Below are 23,963 nucleotides of genomic sequence, written 5' to 3'. Positions count from 1 at the left end.
GAACCCCTGGAATCACTTGCTCTGTGGCAGATCCATCAGCCTGCAGGCCCAGATGCAACACCATCTACCCCAGACATGTGCCTGATATTTGGCCTAGGCCTCATAATAGCATTGCAACAGGTTCCTGGGCCCAGGGACTGAATGACTCAAGGGCACCAAGGCCTACTTAAGGCAGTTAAGAGTGGGTGACAAGACAAACGGAAAGTAAGGAAGCAAAGTGGGGTGGTGGGAAACTGAGGCTGAAGATGGGGCAAGGAAGGGGGAGGAGCTTTGAATGGGGCGGGAAAAGAGCTGCTCAGGCCAGAAGAGTTCAGTCAATGTCCTGTTTTCTATAGTAGTCACCCAATTTGTATGTGTATTTTAAAAATTCTTTTTTGGCAATGTGATATATGCCTAAGGTTATATAATTAAACAATGAAGAAAGCTTATAATAAAAAGCATCTGCCTTCCACCTCCTGCACCCTCGCGTATCCTGTTCCCCAGAAACCACTGATTTTCCACGGTTCTGCTTTTAGCCTTGGCTAATATTTATGGAGCACTTGTCATGTGCCAATCTCTTTGTGTACATCATTTCTTTAAGTGCTCCCCATAGCTCTATGAGGTAGGTATCATTATTATGCCCATTTTACAAATATGAAAACTAAGGAGAAGTAGGTGATGTGTTCAAAGTCACATGGCTGGTGAACAACAGAAATGGGATTTCAGCCAGGGTGTCTGACTCCAGCCACCGGAGTGTTCTTTATCATCACACTCTGGTGGTTCCTGTCAAAGCTTTATTACCTCTGTTTCTTGATTTATCGGCTAGATATTATCTATTGACTTCTTAGTATGATTGATGAGGACTTAGCTCACTTAAACCCCACCTTCTGTGCACCAATTTTAACTAGATGTGTCACAATATTTAGTTCTGTTGGATGCACTTAAATCTCAATTTCTAGTTCCTACTCTACACACATTTGTTGATTGGTTGTGTAGGGTCACCTGAAAGGTGGTAGGCCATCCCAATTTTTTTTTATATCCATCCCTATTCATTGTAGTCTCCACCTCTGTGCCAGGCACACAGCAGTTGCTTGATAAATATCTGTGCAATGGAACAAATGCAAAAAATCTTAACAGCGCCAAAGGTAGGAAATGACCAGGAAATCTCAGGCAGGCGAAGGGCATGGTAATTGCAGCCTGCAATGTCAGCCTGACTTCTTCAGAGATACAGCCTCCTGCTGAGGAGGGAACACTGAGCTATAAAATGAGAATTGAAGGAGAATCACTTCAGAGCAGCTGTCAGGAAGCACTTCCCCCAGAGGATGTGCTGAATGACCTCGCTGCAAGGTTGTCTTGGCTTGCACACCTGGGCTTGTTCCACCAGCCTGCAGGGAAGCCACCAGGGAACAACTCCAGGCAGGCCTCTGGCCATCTCCCCATTGTGGGAAACTTGGGCATCCTATTAGCACCACTTCCAAAGTGGGCTTTTTGAAAGGGGTGTCTGGTGCTGCTAACTTCTCCCATGGGCTCGGGAACCCTACCTGCCTAGGAAGAGTCCATTTGATGATGAAGGCCACCTCTTCTGCCGTAGGCTCTTTGTGCATGCTGTGCCTCTGCTTGTAGCACCCTCCTCCCTTTTAGCTCCCACCCTTCTGGCTAATTCTTATTCAGCCTTTACACCTTGAGTCAGGTGCCACTGCCTAAGGGAAGACTTCCAGAACCTCCAGACTAGGCCACATTCCTTATTATGTTCTGTAAGTATTTTCTGTTTCTTACACTTAGCACAGTTGTAACTTTACAATTATTAGAGTCAATACTTGTAGAAAATTGGCCTTGCCCACTAGACTGGAACCCCCATGAGGGCAGGGAGTATATCTGATTTTCTTTACCACTGTATCTCCAGCACCTAGCACAGCACCCAGCACAACACCCAGCACATAGTAGGTGCTCAGTAAACATTGCTTGAATGAATGAAGGAGTTCATCAAGCCCCTTTAATCAAATCGTTCATTTGTGTGAGTGTTAACCTCCTTGAAACCCAGTATATCTTTTGCATCTAAAAAGGAGGGGATGATGCTTTCTATCCTTGACCTCTCCAGTCAAGGTCGTGATTTACCTTGTGAAAATGTAGCGACTAGCCTCCCTGATGACACACACAGACTCCTGGGGCACCCCCAACCCCACCACTGCCACACACACATTCTTTCCTTCCTCTCCTCTTCTTGCCCTCCTCTGACAATGTCACCTAGCCCTGGCTCTTCACCTTTGACCTCAGTGACACTAAGCCTTGGCTGAAGCTGAATGACCAGGGAAGCTTTTTAAACGGCTGCTCGAGTTTCTGATTCCAGAGTCCTGATAGGGGCCCAGACAAGTGTTTCCCTAAAAAATTCCTTAGGTGGTTCTGATGTGTGGCCCACTCTCTGAATTGATCTCAAAGATGTTTACTTCCCTCCAGCCACCTTCCCTGCTCCAGTCCTACCTCCCACCTCTTTTCCCCTGAGGAAAGCAGCCTCCGCCCTGTCTCTCAGGACTCCAGGCTTGGGCTCCCCAATCTATTCACCTTGAAGTTGTCTAACAGATGGATCTTTCTGGGATGAAACCCTCATCATGTCACTCTTCTGCTTAAAACCTTCTCCTGCCTTCAGGAGAAAGCCCAGGTCCCTGGAGAACCTCGCAAAGCTCCGGCTTACTTCTCCAGGCCCATCCCACCGCAGTTGTTCCTCAGCCACCTCGTTCACACTCTGCCTCTCACATGGGAGCCATAGTCAGGGCCTGCCTGAGCTGGGCCATGTTCTTTCCTTCTTCTGGGCCTCAGCACACTGCTCCTTGTCCAGTGTTAAAGATTTATTGTTAAAATAAAATAGTAAGGAAGACTTTACTCAGGGCTATTGCAATAGAGGTGTTGGAAAAGGTGAGAGAGATTGGACTCAACTCCCAATACAACGAAAATGGCAGGGGATGTGCAGGCAAGGAGCAGAGTAAGAGCTCAGTGGATGGGAAATCACTAAGAGGAGACATTGGGGTAGGGGGATTCTTGCTAAACTGGCCTAATGAGATTCTTGCTAAAGGGAGATCAGAGGCTTAAACATCGAGGGTGGGGGATGAGGAATTTAATCAGATCTCAAGGATGAGGAATGACTTAGTGGATTCTTTGCCAAGACTGGGCTGGGCAGACCAAAGACAAGATGGGGGCCCAGGTCAAGGTCTAGTCAAGAAGAGGGCTCAGAGGAGTCTGACTAAAGTTTGTCAAGGATAGAGACTTTGTCACCAGGAACACTTCACTGGGCTGCCTCTAGGAAGTCATCTGAGACTCCTCCACCCACAGCACCCTTCACCTGTAGATGTTAGCGCTCATCACATCCCAGTGTAGTGATCTGTTTACTTGCCTGCTCCTCTGCTTGACGATGAGCAACTTGAGGCCAGAGACTGTATCGTGAGTCCCCAAGGCCCAATGCAGTGTTTGGCTCTCAGTGTTGAATGAGCACATATTGATGAGCATGACTCTCGTGGAATTGCTACTCTGCTCTGCAACAATCAGTAACTGCATTGCCTGTATCAGTGGTTCTTGGAGTTCACCATGATCAGAGTCATCGGAAGGGCTTGTTAAACATCAATGCCTGGGTCTTACCTCCAGAGTCTCTGATTCAATAGGTCAGACTGCAGCCCAAGAATTTGCATGTCTAACAACAGGTGATGCTGATGCTGCTGGGCTTAGACTGCACTTTATTTACTTACTTATTTTTATTTGCTTATTTAGTTTTGAGACGGAGTTTCACTCTTGTTGCCCAGGCTGAAGTGCAACGGCACAATCTTGGCTCACCGCAAACTCTGCCTCCCAGGTTCAAGTGATTCTCCTGCCTCAGCCTCCTGAGTAGCTGGGATTACAGGCATGCACCACCAAGCCCATCTAATTTTGTATTTTTAGTAGAGACAGGGTTTCTTCATGCTGGTCAGGCTGGTCTCGAACTCCTGACCTCAGGCCATCTGCCTGCCTCAGCCTCCTAAAGTGCTGGGATTACAGGCATGAGCCACTGCGCCTGGCCCTAGACTGCACTTTAATAATCACTGACCTGTAGGATTATAGCTGATATCATCCCCAAGTTATATGCATCATCATATATTTTTAAATTTAAAGGTTATAAGATTTAATAGGCAAATTTCAGGTGGGATGGTGAAGTAGATATGATCTCATGATCTAGGTCACCTCCTTCCCTGCCTAAAGTATATGATTCTCCCTCTCATTTGCAGGCAAGAGTAACAGCTCAAGACTGTATTTCCTTTCCCTGTGCTTCATTCGCTATGGGAGGGGCTGCCTCCCAGTGCCCGCTGCCAGGCCTGGTGCCAGGCTGAGACCAAGGCCCCAAGTGGCTGAGTGGCATTCTGATGCAGGTGGCTGGAGGACTTGCAACATCCTGAGTCCTCTCCCCTCTCAGCCCCCATGATTAGCAGTTGGTGCAAATGGATTCAGAGGGCAGAGATAGCCAGACAGTGACCATGGCTGAAGCAGACAGGCCAAGACAGAGCTTTCCAAAAATGACTCAGCCCAGCCCAAAGGGGGCCAAGATTCAGCTGTTTGCAGAGCATGTGGACAAAGCTGGGATGTGCAGGCTACGGTATTCACATGTGTGCATGTGAGGCCTTCAGGCTGTGGGGCAGAGTCAGGGTTGGAAAGAGAAGGGGACAGTGCCAGGAGCCAGGGCTGCGGGCCAGTTCTCCCTACATTTGCCACATTCTAGGGAGGAGTGCCTTCAAATTTTAATTTGAACTTGACCCTTCCAGGCCATGATGAAAGAATATTTGTCAAGATAGGAAGATAGGTATTATTTACAGTGTGATACCTTAATTCAAACAGGTGATATGTGGGCCTCTATTTATACTCTTGCTCAGGCCCTGCAAATGTTTGGGGTGGGCCTGTGAGAGTGACCAAGGGAGGTGAACAGCCTAGACAAGCAAGACTGCTTCTTGAGGGCCTACGCTGCTCTTTGGGACGAGAACTACCAAGTGGAAGCCCCAGGTACCCTGTTTCCCCGGGGACTGGCTATACTCCTCAGGAGCACCTGGTAGGATCTCTTCTTGGATGTGAGGGTGAAAACTGGTCCCAATGTCAAATGAAAACAACTTTGCACCTGCTCATTTGGAACAAAGGAAGAGGCCTGGACCTTAGGAGGTTTAGATTTGGGGTTCCCAGTGCAAAAGGAAAATGAAATCTTGAGACCCCAAACTCACAATGCCAAAGGAAAAAGTTAAGTTTGGAAACTGAATCACATTAAAAAAACAAACAAACAAACCGAAAACCCTGCTTTTCCTTTTGTTCCTAAACAGGTAGCTGCAAGATAGAAGGCCACATTTCTCGCCAGGTGGCCTTCCTCACCCCAACAATGTAAATTAACAGCATATCTTAAGGCATATGGGACAAGACAAGACTACAGATCATCCCAGATGTGTTTTCTTGGGCCCGTCACATCAGCTCTGTAAACCTGTTTCCTTGTTAAATGGGGATGATTGTAGTGCTTACACATAGAGGGATTATGCCAAACCCTTTGTACTGTGTTTACACAGGTGGGTTCTTAGTAAGTGATAGCTGTTATTTGTGATTTCCTGGTAGTTTATTTCTATTTAATGTGGCTTCTTCCCTAATCAGCCCCATCCTTGGTAGAGTTTGACAAGTTGGAGAACTTAGTCCTCTGGATCCCTGGTCTTCTCTTTTAACATTCCTGCCCTGCTTGTGGACACCTTTTCAATTCATTGTGGGGGCCCACAACCCCTACAGATCTTAGAGATTAGGCATCCTGCATTGATATGCAGATTCCTGAACCCTGCATCAGAGATTCTGCCTCACCAGGATGGGATCAGGCCCAGGAATCTGCATTTTAATGAGTTCCCCAGGTGATTCTCATACAAGCAACAACTCTTGGAGAAATATTGTGGCTGAGAAAGTAGGTTGGCAGGCAGAACCAAGAGCACTGGCTGAGAGGCAGACTCCTGTTCAACCTAATCCAATTTTCTTTCTTTCTTTCCTTCCTTCCTTCCTTCCTTTCTTTCCTCTTTCTTTCCTTCCTTCCTTCCTTCTTTCCTTCCTTCCTTCCTTTCTTTCCTCTTTCTCTCTTTCTCCTTCCTTCCTTCCTTCCTTCCTTCCTTCCTTCCTTCCTTCCTTCCTTCCTTCCTTCCTTCCTTCTTTCCTTCTTTCTTTCTTTTTTTTTTTCTTCAAAATCTCACTCTGTCGCCCAGGCTGGAGAGCAGTGGAACAATCTCAGCTCACTGCAACCTCTGCCAGCCGGGTTCAAGCTATTCTCCTGCCTCAGCCTCCCAAATAGCTGGGATTAGAGGTGCCTGCCACCGCGCCTGGCTAATTTTTGTAGTTTTAGTAGAGATGGGGTTACACATCTTGGTCAGGCTGGTCTTGAACTCCTGACCTCGTGGTCCACCCGCCACGGCCTCCCAAAGTGCTGGGATTATAGGCGTGAGCCACCGCGCCAAGCCTCTAATAGAATTTTCTAAGAGTCAAAGCTGCATAAGAATGAATTAAGCTGCCCTAAAAAGTAGTGAGCCCCCTGTCAAGGAAGGTGTGCAAGCAAATGCCAGGTAAATATCTGACAGAACTAGGAGAGAAACTTTAGTTCAGGAGTTAAATTTTATGACCTTGAAAATTTCTATGATTCCATCTTCTTTTTCCTTTATCTCTCAGGAAACGCTTTGTCTCTTCAGAGATTTTTGGTTCAAGTCTCATGTTTGAGAAAATGCAATAAACACTTTTGTGTCCTAGGACAGAAAGCTGGTGACAAAGAAGAGCATTTCAAGCTGCCCCATCTAATTGTGTCAACAGAGGGGTTTCCCCCCGCCCCGGCCTCTGGGGAAGAGTCCTGCCTCCAGCCTTCTGTGCACCCCTCCCCATTCCTTCCCCACGCCCGCATAAATAATTTTTAAAAAGAGTTGGAAGCAAAGGAGGCTGTAGAGTCAGCTTGAGACTGCTCAAGAGGGGACTTGGAGCAGGCGCGTCTCGCAGTAACTGTGCCTATCGTCGCGTGTAATCGCTGCCATGTGTCTCTGTCAAGAACTTGAGCAGCCTTCAGCAAGGTCCCTGGAAACTCCCCTGTCAGGACCCTCTGGGCGGGAGACAAATGGGTAAGTTAGGACAGTGATAAATCCTGCTGTCCTTCTGTAGTCAGATCCCCTGCAGCAAAGCAGCTCAGCAGGGCACAGGAGGTAAGCAAACCTCAGGTGTGAGACTAGGTTGTGTGGGTGCTTTGCAAGTACATCTGTCTCTGAAAGCGGGTCCTGGCCAACAATTTGGTTGAGTAGATGGGTTGATATGCCAGTTGTTAAGGATCTGAGAAAGTAGTTGGAGGGAGCGGAAAGGGTTGTTTTTTTTTTTTAACCTGCTAACTTCCCCACCAATCAACAGTGAGGGCCCAGCCTTCTCTGGCCCTAGGCTGGCATCTTCCAGATCTGAACCTGGATGGATTTCTTTTCCCCTGTGTTATAAAAGCCAGGAGAAAGCATCCCACTCCACAGCCAGCCCCAGAGCTATCCTTGGAGACCCAACTCCTCTGAGCCTAAACTGAACATTTCCTCCTTGGACCAACCCCCATCCTCATTTAAGGGCATTGAATCTATCTCTTTAGGCACCTGCCATTTTTGCTCTTCAAATGACACTTTTAAGAATGGTGGCCATCTGTTGAGCACCTCCCATGAGCCAGACACAGTGCTAAGAACACCACATGCGTAACCTCAAATGTTCATAAGCATAAAATTACTAGTTCCATTTTACAGATGACAAAAATGAGGCACAGGGTGGTTAAGTGACTTGCCCAGGTCTGTGTGACCTAAAATCCATAACTGGGTTGGAGGGGAGAATAACGCAATGAATATAGACACTGGATCAGACCCCCTGGTAATGAATCAAGGCTTTGGCTCTTACTAGTTGTCAAAAGGGATGCTATAACTTTTCTAAGCCTTAGCTTTTCTCTTTATAAAATAGAGATAATAATAGCTGGGAGTGTGGCTCACACTTGTAATCCCAGCACTTTGAGAGGTTGAGGAGGGTGGATCACTTGAGGTCAGGAGTTTGAGACCAGCCTGGCCAACATGGTGAAATCCTGTCTCTACTAAAAATACAAAAATTAGCCGTGTGTGGTGGCATGTGACTGTAATCCCAGCTCTTCGGGAGGTTGAGGCAGGAGAATCACTAGAACCTGGGAGGCAGAGGTTGCAGACAGCAGAGATTGCACCACTGCATTCCAGCCTGGGCAACAGAAAGAGGCTCCGGCTCAAAAAAAAAAAAAAAAAAAAAAAAAAAAAAAAGATGGAGGGCGGGGATAATAATAATACCTATTTTAAAATTTGTAGTAGGCAAAATAATGGTCCCGCAAATATGTCTACATCCTAATCTTTGGAATCTTTGAATATGTTACCTTACGTGATCAAATGTAAGCATGAATGTAAAGGTGCTTTGCATGTCAATAATAACAATAATAGTAATAATAATTATTACAATTATATGCCAGACACTGTTCTAAAGAGAATCATTGAGAATGTGACAGAATCCGCCAAATGTCACCCTCCCATCCAAAAGACCCCTCCTAGCCAAATTTCCTGTGGAAGATGTTCTCTCAACCATTCCTTTCCTCTTCCCTGGACCAGAGATGAAATAACTCACAGGCAGCTCTCCAGATGAGAGGAAAATGAAGAAGGTAGTGCTTATTACAACATAAAAAGGACCAGGCTCTGTTTACTCAGATTGGGAAACAGATTCTAGGAACAATGTGTCTGCTCCAATGTAATTATCCTGTAAGTGGTCGGCATTTTACTCAGCTCCAAAACTCATGAAGAGGCTTCAAAGAAGTACCCTGGGGACTGTTTTATCAAAAGGGACTTAAGAAGGGGTAAAGTTTTGAGATCAAACTAAGCTCTTAATTGAATCAGCAAAAACTGAAAAAATTTTGAAAGGGAGTTTTGTGCAACAGCAGGAAAACATTTTGGATATGCAGACTGAAAAGAAAAGAGAGAAACAGATCCAGATACCTGGCAGAATATCTCTGCACTGTTGGCTAGTGTTAGTGAGAGGAGAAAGAAATGAAGTTACCGGAATCATAAACCCCTAGCTTGGAAGAAACATGAAGCTTCCATCTGTTTCATCCTTTTCACTTAATTCACTTACATTTAATTCAACATATCCATTCATTCATTTTTCAATAAATACAGACCAAGCACCTGCTAAGTGCTGCTGTGTTACGTGGTGGGGACGCAATGGAGAACACAACACAGTCCTTCCTTCCAGGAGCTTAGGGTGCTCCAGCTCCCACATACCCATTTTAGCAGGAAGTCTCTAATCCTACCATCTCCCCACCCCCATGCTCCACTTACTTTTCCACAAAATCTCACGGGGCTTAGCAGGAGAGCCAGTGCTTATACTCCAGCCTATTTGCCTTTAGAACCAGATGAGTTTGGGATTCAGAAGGCCAGACCCTGGTCCTGTTTCTGCCTCCTAGTCTCAACATGATCTTGGAAAAGAAAATTCTATTCATATGTGGAGGAAACTGAGCTCAGGGAAGGCTTTCCTCCTCTTGCTCCCCCAACCCCCATGTTGTGTTCAAATCTTGGCTCCCCTACCCACAAGCTGTGTGCTCATAAGCAAGTTGCTTAACCACTCTGTTCCTCTGTTTCATCATGTGTAAAATAGGATGTTGGAAGTCTTTGTTAAAATAAATGTATGTGAAATGGTTAGAATAGAGTCAAGTATATAATAAACATTTAATAGACATTAACCATTATTATTAGAGCACTGTGGACCTGTGGATCATTTTTTTCATAGTATTGATCACTGTTTGATATTACATATTTTAGTGATTATTAGATTTAATCTGCCTCCCCTCATTAGACTATAAACTCTGTAAGGGCTGTTTTACCTAGTCTCAACAGCTACTTCAGTGATAGGCACATAATAGGAGCTCAATAAATATTTGTTTAATGGGTTAATGAATGAATGAATTTCTTCCCCAACCCATCTCAGATTGCAGAGGAAAGAAGAATCTGAAGGGCTGCCAGAGCATCTGTTCCCGGAGGTTTTTTCAAACAAGTTCCAACAGCTGTTTGTGCTAGAAGCCACCATAAAAAGCATTCTTAAAAGCAAGAGGGAAAGAACAGCAGTAACGAAGAGATCTATGACCCAGCTGGGATCCTGGATCTATGGCTGCAGCAAGGCTCAGGGGAGGGAAGCGGGAGTGCAGGAAGGTAGATGCAGGGGCTGAAGAGAGGCAGACAGAGGCATAATTTTGAACCAGAGACAGAGAGATGCTCAGTGAGAAAGATGCCCAGAGAGGCAGAGACAGGCACTGAGAGGCACTCTGTGGTTGACAGAGACAAAGATGGAGTGGGAGAAGGAAAGGAGGGCAGACAAGTGTTTGAACTGGCAGCTAATTCCCCAAATCCTTGAGGGGTTTTGAGAGATAGAGAGTAATGCAGGCTTCAGCCTTGCCTGGTTGATTTATGACCAGCGAGAGTTGAGCCACAGTTGAGCTAAGCACATTAGGCGGCTGTGTGGCCTGGAACTTCTTGCAGTCATGCCTGGGACTTCCCTGGAGCAGATCGCAGGATAGAGAGGCTGTCTGCTCTAATGGGATGTGAACAGTTCTCAGAATCAGGGAAATCATAACATGGAGGACTTATACGTTTGTAATTACCCTCCGTTCTAATTGGGAGCCACACAAGAAGTTTTGATGGGAAAGACTGACCCTGTTGGCTGGGCTTCCTTCCACCCTTCCTTTTCTCCTTCTTCCCTCCTTTCTTCCCTCCTCCCTACTTTTTTCCCTCCTCTCTCTCTTCCTTCTTTCCTCCCTCCCTCCTCCCTTCCTTCCTTCTTTCCTTTCTCATTTATTAAGCATTTGGAATGTACAAGGCAACCAGGGATGTGGTGATTAGAGAAGACATGATTCTTAAGTTTTAAAGGGCTCTCAGTGGCACAGCATAAAGAGGAGAAAAGCAGGCAGCAGAATAATAGGTACAGTGTGATACCATTTATATAAACTACTTTTGTTATTTTTATTTGTTCATGATACATGTATTTAATGGATACTTATAAGTATAAAAACAGATTAGGCAGAAATTATCAAAATTTATATCTGAGGTTCCTGGGGGATGAGGTGAGGAGGAAATGAAACCTGGAATGGGAATCAGGGGATTTCATCTTCAGATGAGTGACATATTGCTTATTTTATTAAAAAAAAAGAAATCTGACAATTTTTTTTGGTTATTTTTACACGGCGGATACATGGTAATTTGGCATATACTATTCTTTTAAAGTTTCTCAGAATCCAAAAAAAAAAAAAAAGCTCAAGAAATTGAAACATTGACTGTAATTCACTGAGACAAGTCACTTTTATAGATATATTCTGCATGAATTTCAGAAGGTGGAAGCAGCAAGGATGATCAGAAGGTGGAACTTAATCCTTCTCTCTCTCGTACCCCAATCCATCTATTCCCCAGTCCATATTTTCAGGAACACATTCCCCAGGATTGATCAAAGAAGCTACTACATACTAAGTCAAATAAAATATGATGCTCATCTTCTAGCTACTACATGCTAAGTCAAATAAAATATGACTCTTACCTTCTAGAGACCTCCAAGAGTCAGGAACTTGGGTTGTTAAGGCAGGAAGGGGCTGAGAATTGGGAGCCAAAGTGAGTAGACTCCTCTGAGCATCTCTGGAAAGGAGGCACTGGCCATCCATGGTCTCTGTCTCCTTAGACACCTTAATTTGTAGGCAGGTGGTATAATGAAAAGAGCACAGGCTTTGGAGTCTGTCAAATCTGGGATAGGGGCTCCATAGTAGCTATGTGACCTTGGGCAAATTACTAAGTCACTGTGTACTTCAGTTTCCTCATCTGTAAAATGAGGACAATAATATTTCCCAAGGTTGCTGCGATGTTTAAATGACCCAGTAGAAATCAAATGACAACAAAGCCCAGCATAGTGTCCAGCAAACAATAGAGCAGCATGGGTTAGTCTCTTCCTTCCCAGGAGTAGGATTTCCTCAGTGGGACATCTGAAATATGGCTCCATCAGTCACACGCAGTAAAAGGCCAGAGTCACCAGGACTTCTTTGTCTTAAAAATCTTCCCCCATGGAGAAAGCAGCAATTTAAGTGGCAAAGATGGTGTAGACCTTGGGCCTAAACAAGTCCCATGCCTAGGAGGAGGCAGGAGTGTCAGGATCACAGAACAACAGAGCTGGAAGAGACATCACCAAACCTCACTGCACATCACCTGGAAAAAATTACTCAGATTCTCTCTCTCTCTCTCTTTTAATTCTTTTTTTCGAGACAGTGTCTCACTCTGTCACCCAGGCTGGAGTGCTGTGGTGAGATCTCTGCTCACTGCAACCTTCGCCTCCTAGGTTCAAGCAATTCTTCTGTCTCAGCCTCCCAAGTAGCTGGGACTACAGGTGTGCGCCACCATGCCCAGCTAGTTTTTTATGTATGTTTAGTAGAGACAGGGTTTCACCATGTTGGTCAGGCTGGTCTCAAACTCTTGACCTCAAGTGATCTGCCCACCTCAGCCTCCCAAAGTGCTGGGATTACAGGCATCAGCCACTGAGCCTGGCCAAATCACTCAGATTCTTAAGCCTCAGATTAGAATGGCCAAGACTGGGGTGCAGAAATCTTTTCTTCTGTGAAAACTCCCCTTAAAATACAAATTAAAAGAATGACATATCATTTTTCATCCATAATATGGCAAACAAAAATTTGAGAACATCAAACATTGTTGGAAAAATGTGTGCTCTTAACCACTGCTGGCGGGTGCAGCCGCTTTGGAGAGCAATTAAAATTGTCCAAACCCTATTGTCTGGGATCCATGTCAGAGACTTTGTACAAAGAGGCCTGCCTGAGGATCCTTGTTGAAGGACTGTTTGAAATAATGGAAAGTTGAGAACAAACGAAAGCAGAGAGGAATGTCTGGATAAACCAGGCTATACCTGTATCTCGCAATACTATCCAGCTAAAAATAATTAGGTGAACCTCTAAATACTGACTTAGAAACAGCTCCAAGAAATATCGTGTTCTAAAAAGGAAATTGCAACATCTTACATACAACATGACTTTTATGGAAAAAGAATAACAAACAGGTAGTACTCTATATATTCCGTGGGTACATCATATCCATAAATGTACAGAAAAAGATCTGTAAAGATACACACTAATCTGTTAACTGGAAGGACAGAGAGATAGTGGAAAAGGATAGTTTCGCTTTATATATAATGTCTTAACTTTTTACCAGGAGAGCATATTTATTTGCTACTTATGCAAAAATTATTGAAACAGCTTTATTGAAGTATGATTGACACATACAATATCTTGTGCACATTTAAAGCATACAATTTGACACATGAACACAGCTGTGAAACTATCACTATAATCAAAATAATAAAGATATTTATCAGTTACACCCAGAAGTTTGCTTATGTGATAAAATTCTGTCCAATGACATGTAAGTGCAATTCTGTGGAGAGACTTCTAGAAAAGGCTTCCTTTCTGTTACAAAGAGACACACAGGAAGAAAAAAACTCTTCTTTTGCTGGAGATTTTTTTTCCCTGAGTGATGCCTGGAATAGTGTGAGCCAGCTTATGACTCAGGGGAAAACAGAGTCAACTTGGGAGCAAAACCAACACACATAAGGATGGTGGAGGGAGAAAGTGGAAAGAACCTGGGTCCCTGATAATATTGCTGAGCCACTGAATTAATTAACCTTGGAGGTACCAGGTACCCTCCTTTGGAACTTCTGGTTAAAGAAATGGAATAAAATGTCTATATTGTTTAAACGCATTTGAGTTGGGTTTTCTGTTACTTACTTATAGCTAAAAGCAACCAAAGAGATGTGTTTTGAGAATTAAGGGAGAGCTGGTATCCTGGCTTTGGAAAGGAAGAAAGTCAGAGGTTAAGCAGAGGTTTGAGGAAATCAGAGATGACCACTAGAGGAACAAACATGCTCAAATAGGATGTGACATGGGAGAGCCAGGAGGGACTGCTAAAACATTTAAGTATTCCTCCTGGGTACCCATGACATCACTTGGGGGGTTGTGCAGTGGACTTTCTGAACTCAAGGGAGAAGGCAGCTTGAATTGTTGTTATTTGGGCATTGAAGAAAAGTGAGATCCTTGATGATTAAGGAGGTGGAGGCACCTGGGTGCCCCCTGAACACCCTGATTCCCAGTTTCCCCATATGTAACATGGGTATAATAGTTCCTTCCATGTCCACATACAGGGTTATTGTGAGAATGGACTATGAGCTGAGATAAGGTAGAAAGAGCTGCAAAAATCAAACACACAACACAAAGCCTCATCCCTACCATTTGTCTTCTACCCCTGTCAGAGCAAGTCTATTGAACTAAGTCCTCTGGGTGTCTCTAAGGAGCTAATACGTACAATTCAGAAGGCTTATCTACAAGAAAGCCAGAACATTTTTGGAAAGACAGATTCTTCCTTAGAACTGTTAGTGACAAGTCAGTGAAATTTCTTTCCATGTCTGGGTATGTGTATAAGTGCCCATGTGGGTAGAAATATAACCACTTATGTGTGGATGATTGCAGGATGCATCTGTGTGTGTCTGTGTCTGCATGTGTAGGGAGAGCAGGGTGTGGCTAAAGAATAATCAGAGCCAGGAGCACTTGAGGGCTAATCTCGATTCTGTCACTTCCCAGCTTTGTGACCTTGAGGAAATTCTTCAACATCTCTGAATCTCAGGTTCTCTACCTGGAAAATGTGGCTGCCATGACTTACAAGGAGACCATGATCTTGAACACTGAATTTGCAAGTTATCTGGCAAGCCATAAGGAAAATATACCTGAAATGTGTATGAATGAAGCTGCATTTGTAGTGTGTGTTTGAATGTGTGTGTGTGAGGGGGATATATATAAATAATATATGTGTAGGAGGTGGATATGTGGGTGTGTATGTTTATATGCATGGGTGTTATGTCTGATCATGGGTTAGTAAATGTGTGAGAGAAAGGGAGACAGGAGGAACAGAGGGAGGGCAGGCAGGAAGGAAGAAAGGAAGAGTAAGGAATTAGTAAGAAAGGAAAGGCTGAAGGAAGGAAATTGGGAAGGAAAAAAGGAAACAGGGGACTGAGACACGTGAGCCCAGATCTTGCTGTTCTCTCTGGAGGCCTCTGCCAACTACAGGAATGCAGACTGGAATTGGTTCAGACACCTCAGGAACTCTTCCTGGAGCCAGTCCATCTGCTGGCTCCTCTGTCCCAGAATCACCTCTTGACACTTTTCAGGAGGCTGGGATGGAAGAGGGATGTGTTCAGAGCATCAGGGTGCATTTCCTTGGCCCTCCAGTGGCTAAGGGGCTGCTCAGTCTCCAGGTGCTTTGCCTCATCTGCACCTGACCACTTGGGCCACCCATGAAGCCAGGCTCACCTCTGCTTGCTCCCTACGATTTTCACAGCAGCAGCCTCCTGCTGCCTCCCCGCATTGGTCCCTCCCATTCCTCTAGGTCACCCTGTACACTGCCACCAGGCTTGCACTCATAAGATGTAGGGTGCCCCCCGACCCCCTGCATGGCCAGCTGCCTCCCTCTCACATTCTGCCTATAGGGGGCGCTATAGGGGAAGGCGCTTAGAGGAGGGTGAAAGGAAAGAAAGCTTTATCCTATTTGTCTGTACCTGTCAGCTCCAACACAACAAAGTAGTTTGTTTCATAGTAGAAGTTGGTTCCTATTTGTAGTTTCCCCGACACTCAGAAACAATCTCATGGTGCCCCTTTAGAGACACCAATACCTGTCAGCCGGGCTGCACCCCCTTCTCAGAAACGCCTGACCCAGCTCCAAGTTTTGAAGTTTTAGTCATTTTGACCTCTTTCCTCTGCCCCGCTCCCTCAGCTGCTTCCTGCAATTACTACCTCTATGAACTCATTTTGCCTTTTTAGTTCTTTAATACCTAATAATTTTATATTTTATTTTATTTATTTTATTTTATTTTATTTTATTTTGAGACAGAGTTTTACTCTTGTTGCCCAGGCTGGAGTGCAATGGCGCGATCTTGGCTCACTGCAACCTCTGCCTCCTGGGTTCAAGCAATTCTCCTGCATCAGCCTCCCGAGTAGCTGGGATTACAGGCGCGTGCCACCAGACCCGACTAATTTTTGTATTTTTTAATAGAGACAGGGTTTCACCGTGTTGGCCAGGCTGGTGTTGAACTCCTGACCTCAGGTGATCCACCCACCTCGGCCTCCCAAAGTGCTGGGATTACAGGCGTGAGCCACCATGCCCGGCAATACCTAATAATTTTACATTAAATTCCTCCTGTTGAAATAGCTTGTGTGATGGTTTCTAGCTCATGAGTGAACCTGTCTCATATAATTTCCTTCTTTTTCTTTATACTTTTATCACCTAAGGATGCATCCCTAAACACTAAAATATTGCTTTACTAATATTAAACTTCACCTAAACGAAACCATACAGTACTCTTTGGCGTCCAACTTCTTTCATTCAAAATGTTTGTTGCATGTATTGTAGTATATCTATTTCTATTGCTGTGTGATTTTCCATTGTACAGATGTACCCCAATATATCAAGAGATTCTTCTCTTGATAGACATTTGAGTTGTTTCCAGTTTCTAGCTAATATAAATAATAAATACTGCAATGAACATTCTTATACATTTTTATTGATACCACCATGCACACATTTTTACTGGGCATGTAAGTAGGAAAGGAATTGCTAGGTCACAGGGAACGTGGACAAAAGTTTTCCAAAGTGGTGGTACCAATTCAAACTCTCATCAGCAAAACATGGTAGTTTCTATTACTCCACATTCTCACTAACTCTTCATATTGTAAGTCTTTTTTAAGATTAGCCATTCTGGTGGGTACACAGTGGCATCACACATACACCATTGTACATGTGTGATACAATGTACAACCTTTACAACCTTTTGCAATAGTAGATAGTGGTACTGCATTATTATTTTAATTTGCATTCCCTGATGACAAACGAGGTTGAGAACCTCCTCTTTTGTGAAGTTCCAGTTCAAATCTCTCCTCTGCTTTCCTACTGAGTTGTCTTTTAGTTATTGATTTGTAATCATTCTTTACATATTCAGAATATGGCCAGTTATAATTTTTATACATATCTTCTTCCACTCTATGGCTTGCCTTTTCACTTTCTTATATGATGAACAGTTTTAAAATTCTAGTGTAGTCAGAATTGTACTTTTTTCCTGTCATGATCAGTGTTTTTTTGTGTGTATTGTTTAAAAAAATTTCTCTTACATAGAAAGTACTTCTATGTTATTTTTTTAAAGCACTATTGTTTTGCCTTTCAGATTTACATCTGTGATCCCCCAATACTAATTTTTTGTATGAGTGATTGATCAATGGATTCTCATGGATTCTTTTCTGTAACCTGATATCAAATGCAAATAATGATAATTTTATTTTTTTGCTTTCCAATCCTTCTGCCTTTAATTTTTTTTCTTATCATATTGGCCAAGATTTTCAGTATAAAGTTGAATGGAAGTAGGAATAGCAAGTATTTCTGTCACATTCCACATCTCAAAAGAAACTCAGCATTTCACCGTTAAGTAGGATGTTTGCTCTAATATACTTTTCTAGATACTTTTTATCAAATCAAGAAAATTTTCTTTTATTTCTGGTTTCCAAGAGTTTTATGTTGTGACTAGATAATAAATTTTATCATATGCATTTTCTGTATCTATTGAGGTTATAATTGGATTTTTCTCCTTTATTCAACTAACATAGTGAACTATACTAATTTTTAAGCTTTATACTAACCTGGCATCCAGGAATAAACCCAATTTAACTAAGATACATATCCTAATTACATATTCCTAGAATAATTTTTGCAATATTTTGGTTAGGGTTTTTGCATTTATGTTCATGAGCGAGACTGCTTGTAATTTTCCTTTCTTATATTATCCTTGTCAGGGTTTGGTATCAAGATTATAGCTTATTTTATAAAGTGAGTTGAGAAGTATTTCATCTTTTTCTATTCTCTGTAAGAGTTTGTATAATACATTTGGTAGAATTTGCCTGTACATCATCTGGACCTAGAATTTTCTTTAAGGAAGAGTTTTAATTATGAATTATGAATAGTTCTACTGGAGTTTTCCATTTCTTCTTGTGTCTGTTTTGGTAAGTTGTGTTTTACTAGAAATATATTCACTTAACCTAATTTATTTGAAATTCATTGGTGTAAAATAGTTAATACTATGATTTTATTATATTTTAAATTCTAATTAAAATTATATGTTTATGTAGGGTATCTCTCTTTTTGTTGGTTATTTGTTTCTACTCTCTTTTTCTTCTTTGGTAACTCTTTCCAGCCATTTATCAATGTTATCAGTCTTTTCAAATGACCTACTTTTGGCTTTATTGATTCAGTCTATTGTATGATTGTTTTCTATATTATTAAATTCTGTTCTTATTTTTATTGTTTTTTCTAATTTATTTGGGATCAATTTGTTGTTTATTTTTCTATTATTTTGAGATAAATACTTTTCCAGCCTTTCTTCTTTTCTAATATGTGTATTTGAGACTATATATTTCTCTCTAAGCATATTTTAAACTGTATCCCAATGTTTAGATATGTCATATTTCAATTAACATTCAATCTAAAATAGTTTCTAACCCCCATTGTGATTGATACTTGAATCTATGAAATATTTAGAAGTATATTTCTTATTTTCAAAGTAAGAATTTTTTAAATTTATTACCCTTTTTTCTGATGAATTGAGACTTTTATATTAAGAAAAAAACCCTCTTTATCTCTATACTGCTTTTTGGCTTAAAGCCTACTTGCTATTAAGATAACTGCATCAGCTTTTTAAAAATTAATATTTGCATGGTATATTTTAATTATTATTTTCTTTTATTCTCAACCTTTTGTATTCTTAAGTTTTAGCTATGTCTCTTATAAACCATGTCTTTGTTGTTGCTTTTTAAAAATTCAGGCTGACAATCTTTGTTTTAATTGAAGCATTTAATTTATATCTAATATCTAAATTTATGTCTATATGTAAATTTATATACATTTATTCCTGACACAGCAAGAAACTCAGAATGTGTTAACTCCATTCATCTCTTTCCAACTTATATGCCATACTGTCCTGTATTTTAATTCTATACATACATATTTTTTGTTTTGTTTTATTTTGTTTGAGATGGGGTCTAGCTGTGTCACCCAGGCTGGATGCACCATATAATTTAAATACCACTAGAATGCTTACAATTCATCCATTTAAAGGGTACAATTCAATGATTTTTAGTATATTCACAGGTGTGCAACTATCGCCACAGTCAATTTTAGAACATCATGATCTCTTCAGAAAGATATCTCATACTCATTAGCTACCATCCTCTATCTCCCAACCCCAGCCCTAGTCTATGAAACCATTTATCTACTGTCTCTACAGATTTCCCTGTTCATTTCACTTTCATATGAATGGAAGCCTCATTATCTTTTTTTTTTTTCTTTTTCAGATGGAGTCTCGCTCTGTTGCCCAGGCTGGAGTGCAGTGGCATGATCTTGGCTCACTGCAACCTCCACCTCCCGGATTCTTCTGCCTCAGCCTCCCGAGTAGCTAGGACTACAAGTGCGCATCACCACACTCGGCTAATTTTTGTATGTTTAGTAGAGACGGGGTTTCAGCATATTGGCCAAGCTGATCTCAAACTCCTGACTTCAAGTGATCTGCCCGCCTTAGCCTCCCAAAGTGTGGGATTACAGGTGTGAGCCACTGTGCCTGGCCCTCATTATCTTTATATAGTAATTAATCACTTTGATTTAGCCACACATTTACCATTTTCATTCCTTCTGACTTCTCTTACCCTCTCTGTGGGATGGTTTCCTTCTACCTGGGAAAACACCAGTTACTATTTCCTTTAGTGTAGGTCTGCTGGTGATAACTTCTCTTAGACAAAATTCAGTGTGTACAAAATGTCTTTATTTTATATTCATTTTTGAAGGATTTTTTGCTAGCTTCAGCATTTTATTTTAGCAGACATTTTCTTTCATGATTTAAAAGACATCAATTCATTGTTTTCTGTCTTCCATTATTTCTCTTGAGAAGTCAGTTGCTAGTCTAATTTTTGTTCCTTTGAAGGTAATGGGTCATTTTTTGGCCGGGCACGGTGGCTCATGCCTGTAATCCCAGCACTTTGGGAGGCTGAGGCGGGTGGAACACCTGAGGTCAGGAGTTTGAGAACAGCCTGACCAACATGGAGAAACCCCATATCTACTAAAAATACAAAATTAGCCAGGCGTGGTGGCACACACCTGTAATCCCAGCTACTCAGGAGGCTGAGGCAGGAGAATCACTTGAACCCTGGAGGTGGAGGTTGTGGTAAGCCGAGATTCTGCCATTGCACTCCAGCCTGGGCAACAAGAGTGAAACTCTGTTTCAAAAAAAAAAAAGGAAAGAAAGAAAGAAATGGGTCATTTTTCTTGGGTTGCTTTTAAGGCAAAATCTCTAATTTGGGCTACTGTTAGAGCAGGGCTGGTTTGCTTCTGGTTTACCTATATTTCTGTAATATAGCTATTTCAAGTTCCACCCAGAAATGAGAGGTCCTAGACTTCAATTTTTGTCTTCTCAGCCTTGAGAGACTATCATAAGAGGGCTTCTCAGCCTCTCAGCTGCCTCATTTGGGACAAAATTCTAAACTCACATGTATAAATCTGTTCCAGCCCCCAGTCCTGTTCCAGTGATTCTTTACTACTTTTGTTAGCCCTTTGATACACTCAGTGAGATTTTAAAAAAAAATTGTCCAGCTTTTCTTATTGTTCTCAACTAGAAGTTTGCTCTGGATTCCTCAGTTCAGTATTGCTGATTATATCATATCACTTCATTTTTTACAGTTTGTTTTTCATTTTCGTAGACACAGGGGCTTGCTCTGTCACTCAGGGTGGAATGCAGTGGCACAATCATAGCTCACTGCAGACTCACACTCCTAGACTCAACCAATCCTCCCGCTTTAGCCTTCCAAGTAGCTAGGACTATAGGCATGCACCACTACACCCAGCTTATCACTTCATTTTATTTTCTTCATGGCTTTTACTGATATCTGAAATATTCTTGTTTATTCATTTGTCTGTTTTTTTTTAAATAGTCCTAGTAGGCTGTAAACCCTACAAGATCAGAGACCTTCCCTTGCTATCTGTTGGGACCCCAGGCTGCAGCCATGACCAGGCACAAATTAGGCCTCTCTCTTCAATGTCTTATACCACATTCTTCTTGCCATCTCTCTTTCTTGCCCTCACTTGTCTTCTAGCCCTTGTTATTTCCCTGTCCTCTCACTACAGGGTCTTTGCAAATGCTGTTGCTTCTATCTGGGAAGTCTTTTCCTTCCTACTTCGCTTAGTTAACTCCTCAGCTCAAGCACAACTTCTCAGGAAATCCATCTCTAACCGTCTTTCCTTGGTCAGTTGCCACCATTATATGGTTCCATAGTACTATATACATATCATTTATTGCACCTTCTACAGTTTAGACATTATTCACATTTTAAAAATAATTTTATTGTAAACGCCATGAAGAAAACTTGTCTGTTTTTCTCACTACATTGTTAGCACTTAGAACAGTGCCTAGTTCTCAGACATTTCCTGCATGAATGAATGTGGCAGTCCTTACACATTTATTCTTGTATTATCCTTATTTTATGTATTATCCTTATTTTATCCTTATTTTATGGGTGAGAACATGGGTGAATTAGAGAGTTTTAAGTTAGATGTCAGCCATACAGCGACATGTAAGTATCCTTTCTCTGTGTTTTGTGGGACTTTAATAAAGCAAGATTTTTAGGCTTAAGGCCCAGTTTCTTCATCTATAAAACAAGAATGGCAATCCAATCCATTCTCATTGGATTATCCTTAGAATCAAGTTAATTTTTGTGCATAAGAGCCTAGCACATTGCACATGGTAAATGGCCATAAAACTGTAACAGTTAATTTTGTCATTGCTGTTATTATTGTTATAAATAGTTCATGTTCCCATTGGAGACCTTCTTTCTGCAGCCCGGCTATTGGGAGAAAAGACCAAAAGTCATCTGGATCCAGAGCCTTTAGTAGTGAATTTTAGCAGTGGTGGGAGTGATGATCAGCCAGAGACATAATCAGAGGCAGGTGAGGAATTGAGGACTAGGAAGAGAGAGAAACCAAAGAGCAGAATGCCGGTGACAAAGGAGGCCCAGACTGCTCTGTCTTCCTAGTGTCAGCTGCAAATGCTCTCTAAGAAAGTCCTCTCACCCTTTCCCCAGGGACCTCCAATGTGCTTTCAGCAGGTTCCATGAGGTAGCCAGCTAGTTCTCAAGACCTGATTACATTCAATTTACTTGAATTTTTATCAGAGTGCCAGTCAGCAGTGTTCTAGATAAGCTGCCCCAAATCAAACAGAGGCCAGTAAGGTCCTGCCTTAAGCTCTTGTCTTACTCGCTATCAGTGACTCCCAGGGGACCTTGGAAAATCCAATAATCTCACAGAGCTGTTCCTGAGCCTATAGAGTCCTGGCCCTGTCAAAGCACAGTGAAAACTAGCCAAAGCAGCCTGAGATCAGCCATAGCTTTAGCAGGAAAAGTAGATGTATTCTCTGCTTTTTATTCTTGAAAGTTTCTGTTGCTGTTCAGAGGATAAAAGCAGCAGTAAATGCTTAGGCAGAGCTGCGCCTTATGGCAATTTGCTCTGAGCAGTTGTCCTGAGCAGGCCCAAAAGCCAAGACAGTGTAGCCAAGGGTCCAAGTGCGGTTTGTAACTGAGGGCTGTGTCATCCCAAGCCTGGCCCATGGGGTCAATGGCATCCTCTGCATCTTTGGAATGATTATGGGTCTGTACAGCAGGGATTGCTCCCTTGCCTGGAGTACAGCACTGCATTTGTCAGGTAAAGGAAATGGTTTATCAATAACAATAACAATTTACACTCAGCAAACTGTTATTTAACCACACGTCGATTTCATTAAGGCTGGATGACAATAATCATCATAATAACAGTGTGTGCTTTCCACTTGCCTTCCTAATAGTGAAAGGTTTTAGAGCCCAGTCCTCACTTAGTGGGCTGACATTGAATTTTGAGACATAAGCTTGTGACCAGGAGGAAGAAAGGAAAAAGTGTTGGGCAAATGTTGGATTCAAAGAACTTATTGTTGTTACTCTGATCAATTAATTGATTCATTTATTTGCCAAATATCTTTGAATACCTACCATGTGCCATGTACAGTAGGCCTCTGTCCCTCTGTATCCACAGGTTTTGCATCCACGAATTCAACCAGTCGCTGATCAAAACTATTTAAAAAATAATACAAGAATAAAAAAGAATTCAAATACCAAAATACAGTATAACTATTTACATAGCATCTACATTGTATTAGATATTATGTGTAATGTAGAGATGATTTAAAGTATTTGGGAGGATATGCATAAGTTATAAGTAAATACCTTTCTTTCTTTCCTTCCTTCCTTCCTTCTTTCTCTTTCTTTCTTTCTTTCTTTCTTTCTTTCTTTCTTTCTTTCTTTCTTTCTTTCTTTCCTGTCCTTTCCCTTCCTTCCCTCCTTCCTTCCTTCCTTTCTTTCTTTCTTTCTTTCTTTCTTTCTTTCTTTCTTCCTTTCTTTCTTTCTTTCTTTCTTTCTTTCTTTCTTTCTTTCTTTCTTTCTTTCTCTCTCTCTCTCTCTCTCTCTCTCTCTCTTTCTTTCTTTTTCTTTCTTTCTCTCTGTTGGTTTTTTTTTTCAAACGGAGTCTCACTCTGTCACCCAGGCTGGAGTGCAGTGGAGCGATCTCGGCTCACTGCAACCTCTGTCTCCTGGGTTCAAGCAATTCCCCTGCCTCAGCCTCCCGAGTAGCTGGGATTACAGGTGCTCACCACCATGCCTGGCTAATTTTTGAATTTTTAGTAGAGATGGGGTTTCATTTTGTTGGCCAGGCTGGTCTCGAACTCCTGACCTCAGGTGATCCACTCAACTTGGCCTCCCAAAGTGCTGGGAT

At 42.2% G+C, this 23,963-nt stretch overlaps 1 annotated feature.

Annotated features, from left to right (window-relative positions):
- Nucleotides 5,229-5,523: a silencer, noted in NCBI's record as "tiled region #747; HepG2 Repressive non-DNase unmatched - State 22:ReprW". NCBI's record gives its function as "represses a minimal TATA promoter and a strong SV40 promoter by Sharpr-MPRA in HepG2 cells {active_cell/tissue: HepG2}" and the evidence as "EXISTENCE:reporter gene assay evidence [ECO:0000049][PMID:27701403]".

The sequence above is a fragment of the Homo sapiens genome, chromosome 5, assembly GCF_000001405.40.
Source record: "Homo sapiens chromosome 5, GRCh38.p14 Primary Assembly".
Classification (NCBI taxonomy): domain Eukaryota; kingdom Metazoa; phylum Chordata; class Mammalia; order Primates; family Hominidae; genus Homo; species Homo sapiens.
The sequence above is the reverse complement of the archived record's forward strand: the minus strand, read 5'-3'. Positions and strand labels throughout refer to the sequence as shown.